Source organism: Homo sapiens, chromosome 19 (assembly GCF_000001405.40).
Source record: "Homo sapiens chromosome 19, GRCh38.p14 Primary Assembly".
NCBI lineage: Eukaryota > Metazoa > Chordata > Mammalia > Primates > Hominidae > Homo > Homo sapiens.
In genome coordinates, this window is record NC_000019.10 from 51,665,361 (window position 1) to 51,671,875 (window position 6,515).

At 37.9% G+C, this 6,515-nt stretch overlaps 1 non-coding gene across 1 annotated transcript; it reads left to right on the top strand.

Annotated features, from left to right (window-relative positions):
• Positions 1-4,044: 4,044 nt before the first annotated feature.
• Positions 4,045-4,148, top strand: LOC124904796 (small nucleolar RNA U13). The gene has a single exon (XR_007067379.1). It is a non-coding gene; the product is annotated as a small nucleolar RNA U13 (small nucleolar RNA).
• Positions 4,149-6,515: the final 2,367 nt, after the last annotated feature.

Genomic DNA, 6,515 nt, shown 5'->3' on the forward strand with positions numbered 1-6,515 from the left:
ATGAGGTAGGGATCTAACTTTACTTGTTGATTCTTTACAAGATCCTGATTAGTGTATTTATCTTATATCTTGCCAAATCAAATAACTTGATTATTTTTCTAAATTTAATTTTAAGTTCCAGGATACATGTGCAGGACATGCAGGTTTGTTACATAGCTAAACATGTGCCAGGGTGGTTTGCTGCACCTATCAACCCATCACCTAGGTATTAAGCCCTGCATACATTAGCGATTTATCCTGATGCTCTCCCTCGCCTGGCGCCTCCGACAGGCCCCAGTGTGTGTTGTTCCTCTGCCTCTGTCCATATGTTCTCATTGTTCAGTTTCCACTTCTAAGTGAGAACATGTGGTGTTTGGTTTTCTGTTCCTGTGTTAATTTGCTGAGGATAATAGCTTCCAGCACCATCCATGTGTCTGCAAAGGACACAATCTCATTCCTTTGTATGGCTGCATAGTATTCCACGGTGTATATTTACCACATTTTCTTTATCCAGTCTATCATTGATGGGAATTTTGGTTGACTCCATGTCTTTGCTATTGTGATTAGTGCTGCAATGAACATACACATGCATGTATCTTTATAATAGAATGATTTATATTTTTTGGTATATACCCAGTAATGGGATTGCTGGGTCAAATGGTATTTCTGAGAACTTGATTATTAGTTCTAAGGTTTTTCTGTAAATTCTCATGTGTTTTTTTAGGTAGATGTTCATGTTGTCTACAAAAATGACAATCTTATCTTTTCATTTCTCACATTTATACCTTATTTCAACTTTCTCTCTGGCTATCTTTCCTAACACCACAAATGCAATGATAATTGTGGTAATAGTGGGACTCTGCCTCATTTCTAGCTTTAGAGTTTCATCATTATGACCAATGAGTGCCTGAGTATGGCTAGTGTGACCAAGTAACTTAATTTTCAGTGTTGTTTCACTGTAATTAATTTAAACTTAAATGGGCTTGGCAAACCTGGCCCATCTAAAAATAAATAAAATTGAACTTCTATCTCATCTCAGACTATATACAAAAATACATGCCAGGCTTAAACATACAAAAAGAAAAGACATGAAAGAATTTGAAGAAAATGTAGGAAAGAGGCCAGATGTGGGGGCTTATGTCTGTAATCCTAGCAATTTGGGAGCCTAAGGTGGGAGGACTACCTGATCCCAGAATTTCAAAAGCAGCCTGGGCAGATAGGGAGACCCTGTCTCTACACAGAAAAGAAGAGAGAGAGAGAGAAAGAAAGAAAGAAAGAGAAAGAGAGAGAGGGAGGGAGGGAGAAAGAGAGGAAGGAAGGAAGGAGGGAAGGTAGGAAGGGAGGGAGGAAGGATGGAAGGAAGGAAGGGGAAGGGAAGGGAAAGAAAAAGAAAGAGAAAGGAAAGGAAGGAAGGAAGAAAAGGAGGAAAGGAGGGAGGGAAGGAAGGAAGGGAGGGAGGGAGGGAGACGATGTGGCTGTGATGGTAACTTTCTTAGCCAAGAGAAGAAACCCAGAAGCTGTGGAGAAAAAGAGTGGTCATAAATGACTATGTGAATATAAAAAAATTTTGTATGGTAAAATGTACCAAAAACAAAATCAGTGCACTAAGGGGTCAGGGATGGTAAATTTTTCAATATATATGGCAGATAAAAGCCAAGATCTATATTCCAGCAAGAACTCTTACAAATTGAATTTGTTTTAAAAAAGACAAACATTCCAATAGAAAACAAGCAAAGAATGTGATTAGAGAATTCACAGAAAAGCAAATCCAAAAGGCTAAACATGAAACAACTGCTCAAATTAACCAGCGGTTTGAAAAGTGCTTATTTGAGTCAAAATAAAATGTCATCTTACACCTATGAACTGGAAAAATTATAACACCCTTAAGCTGGCATGGATCTGAGGAAATGTGAGCACCTTTAAGTTGGCATGGGGGTGACGAAAAGAGTACCCTTACATGTAGAAGCAATTTTGGATCATCCATTAGCAATACTCCCACACATTCACTTTATCTCAAAATCCACCTCCTAAGAATCTACCCTATTGAAACAAAAGCAGCACTACAGAAGGTAAATATACAAGTAGGTTAATTGTTGCATTATTCGTGGCAGCAAAACTGGAAATAACGTTAATGCCCATCAATCTGATAATGGCTGAGTAACTTTGGTTTGCCAACACCACTGAGTACAGGACAAATGTTTAAAAATCACAACAAATTGAACAAAGAAGCAGCTAGGTAAAATCAATTTCCCTTAAGCCAGATATGAAAGAGATTTGCAAAAAATGTAAAGCAATGTCAGTCTTTACATTGATTTTCATTTTTGAAAATGTAGGCATTTTTCTTTAAATATATTAATTGTGTTAACAATTAACATATAACATGCATTGGGGCCGGATGTGGTGGCTCACGCCTATAATCCCAGCACTTTGGGAGACTGAGATGAGCAGATCGCTTGAGCTCAGGAGTTGGAGACTGGCCTGGGCACATGGTGAAACTCCATCTCCACGAAAAATTTAAAAACTAGCCAGGTGTGGTGGCACACACCTGTAGTCCCAGCTACTAGGGAGTCTGAGGTAGGAGAATCGCTTGAGCCCAGGATGTGGAGGCTGCAATGAGCCGAGATCTCGCCACTGTACTCCAGCCTAGGCGACAGGGTGAGACTCTGTCTCAAAAGAAAAGGTCGGGGAGGGGTTTATCATTGTTATTTAAAATAAATATATAAATATTTTGAAAATAATTCTCATTGAATGAAGATTATAAGGGAACTATAAATGTAACTAGAAAAATATTAGACAATTCAATAGAAAAATTCACTAATGATCTGAGTTTATACCTTAGTCCATTCAGGCTGCTGTTAAGAAAGTAGCACAAATAAACAAAATACCACTTCGAAACAAGAGAAATTTATTTCTCACTATTCTGGAGGCTGGGAAGTCCAAGATCAAGTCACTGGCAGATTAGGTGTCTGGTAAGGGCCCACTTCCTGGTTTGTAGAAATGAGGACTTCTGGCTGTGTCCTCACATGTTGAAGGGGAACTCTGGGGCCTTTTTCTTAAAGGTCCCAGTCCCATTCATGAGGGCTTTACTCTCATTGCTTCATCACCTCTGAAATGCCTCATCTCCTAATATTATCACATTGTGATTCAATTTCAACATATGAGTAGAGAGGGACACACACATTAATAGCAGCAAACTTCACAAAAAGAAAATCCGAATGACCACGAATTATATAAAAGGATTCTGAATAATTTATTATTTTTAAAACATATGGTGAAATTAGCAGTATTGCACCAATATTCATCTCCCGGTTTTGAACATTATGCTGTGGTTATATAAGAGAGTAACTTTAGGGAAGTTCAGTGAAGGGTTTGCAGGAATTTGCTGTACCATTTTTACAACTTTTCAAAACACTAAAATTAGCTCGGCATAAACAGTTAAAAATGTGGAGGAGTCAAATTTTAACATTTTACATTAGAGTATGGGAACAATGATTTCTCAGTACTTTTAGCTGTTACCTTTTTCTCTGTTCACCTTACTGCGCAGTTCTGGTACTAAATAGATGCTCACTTTGCCAGCAAAAGGTCCTAGTGTTGGCTGGGTGCGGTGGCTCACACCTGTGATCCCAGCACTTTGGGAGGCTGAGGCAGGCAGATCACGAGGTCAGGAGTTTGAGACCAGCCTGGCCAATATGGTGAAACCCTGTCTCTACTAAAAATACAAAAATTAGCCAGGCGTGGTGGCGTGTGCCTGTAGTCCCAGCTACACAGGAGGCTGAGGCAGAAGAATCGCTTGAACCCAGGAGGCGGAGGTTGCAGTGAGCTGAGATCATGCCACACTATACTCCAGCCTGGGCGACAGAGCAAGACTCTGACTCAAAAAAAAAAAAAAGGTCCTAGTTTTAGTGATGTTGCCAAGTTATTAAGGTTCCTTCCTCACTAATCGAAACTAATACAAGGAAAGGATTACTTCCTCTTTGGGAAATCTGGTCAAGCTGATGATCCAATTTAATTAAAACAATACCACAAATTGAATCTTTGTTTACTGCTTGAAAAGCTACTTTCTAGATCCTTTTGTAGTTCATAAGTGTGAGGACTGGGTTTTCAGGCTCGTGTATAAGATGTGCCTCCCTCACTCCTTGTTACAACATCGGCATATTACTCATCTGAATGGAAAAAAAAAAGCTTCTGAATAGTTTCAGAAGTAGATGTTAAGATTCATCTTAAAGTAGTCATATAGGTCAAGAAATGAAACATACACAATATTTCAGAATCCCCTGCATGTGGCTTCCCCAGTAATAATCCATGCCTCCCTCCAGAAGTCAGTAACATTCTAACTTTTTGATAATTTTGCGCTCACTTTTCTTTTTATTGCTATTAGTTATGTAGTTTTCTTTTTCTTTTCTTTTTTTTTTTTTGAGATGGAGTTTCACTTTTGTTGCCCAGGCTGGAGTGCAATAGTGCGATCTTGGCTCACCGCAATCTCCGCCTCTTGGGTTCAAATGATTCTCCTGCCTCAGCCTCCTGAGTAGCTGGGATTACAGGCATGCACCACCATGACCAGCTAATTTTGTATTTTTAGTAGAGAAGGGGTTTCTCCATGTTGGTCAGGCTGGTCTCCAACTCCTGACCTCAGGTGATCTGCCTGCCTTGTGCCTCCCAAAGTTCTGGGATTACAGGCATGAGCCACTGTGCCCAGCATAATAGTTTTCTTTTAGCTATTTTTAAGATTACATATTTACATGTATGGAACAAGATTCCATGTGTTCATTTGATTTTGCAAATTTTTATAATATCACATTGATGACAATATTCTATGTATTCATATAGCTGTATTTCATTTTTTCATTGCTGAATAGTATTCCATTATGTGGATATACCACACTTCATCGATCCACTTGCCTTGTAAGTGGGAGCTAAATGATGAGAACACATAGAGGGGAACAACACACACTGGGGCCTACTGGAGGGTGGAGGGTGGGAGGAGGGAGAGGATCAGGAAACATAACTAACGAATACTAGGTTTAATACTTGGGTGATGAAGTAATCTGTATAACAAACCACCAGGACACAAGTTTGCCTATGCAACAAACCTGCACATATACCCCAAACTTAAAATAAAAGTTTTAAAAAAGTGTATTCAAGAGTTGAGATTTAGCACAATTAATAGCTTTTACTGTTTCATCAAGTGCAATCTTAAATGAAGCTGGAATTTTCCTTAACAGTGAGTGTGAAGTGATAAAGAATACAACTTTCTAGCACAATTTAGTGCTATTACCTTGCTTCCGGCTAAGGTTACAGCCCTTTTATGTACCATTGCTTTTGCACCAGCAATGTAATGTCAACACAGAGAAAAACGCAAATAACATCTGTGTATTATTACTAAAATAGTTTTGACCTTGAAGATGCCCCCTGAAAGAATCTTGGTATCTCCTAGTAGAACCCTGTCTCTAGAGGATGCATCTTAGAGGAACTTCTGTATATATGTCAGTATGCCTGTGTACAGATGCTCCTTAACTTATGGTGGAGTTTCATCCTGATAAATCTGTCATAAATTGAAAATATAGTAAGTCAGAAGTAATTTTCTACTTAATATTTTCCATGTATGATGGGATTATACTGAATGTGTACTCAGTATACTGAGTACTGAATGTGTATGGCTTTTGCACTATCGTAAAGATGAAAAATTATAACTTGAATCATCATAAGTCAGGGATGGTCTGTATGTAAGTGTGTGTATATATCTCCTACTTCAGTAGATAATGCTAAAAAATTTTCCCAAACAATTGCATGAATTTACACTCCCAAAAGTGTACAATATGAGAGTTACCATTGCCCCACATCCTTGCCAACCCTTGGTACTTTCCATTTTTAGCAATCTGATGAGTATGTAATGGTATCCACTATGACACTGATTGGTTTCTACCTCTAAAGAGGTCGAGGACCTTTTCTTATACAATTGGAGTTCATTGGATTTTCTTCTTGTAAAGTCACTTTTGAAGTGATTGGCCAATTTTGCTATTGGATTGCCTGATTTTTTTTTCTAATTGGATTTGTATATTCCTCAGTTGATGAGAATTGTTATGGATAAAGGTAGAATTTCATCAGACTCATTTCCACCTTCCATGGGATGGTCATATTATGTTTTTTTCTTGTATTTGAGCTTGTGATAAATACACTAAATGAGTTTCTAATGTTAAACCACCCTTGCATTCCTGACATAAACACATCTTGGCTATGATGCATTATCATATTTATATCTAGCTCTATTTAATTTGCAAACTCTGGCTTAATATTTGTGCCACTATATGCCTAATTAAGATTTGCCTATACTTTTATTTTTTTATATTGTTGAGTTTGGGTATTAATTTTATAATTAGCCACAGAAAATGAGCAAGAGTTTGAATAGGAATAGAGTAATTTCTTCCTTAAGTTTTGGTACAATTTGCTGGTATACTTAAAGTTTAGCCATCTTGACCTAAAGTTTGCTTGGTGAGATGATTTTTACTACTGATTCTTCCGAATAGTTTTAGAACTAT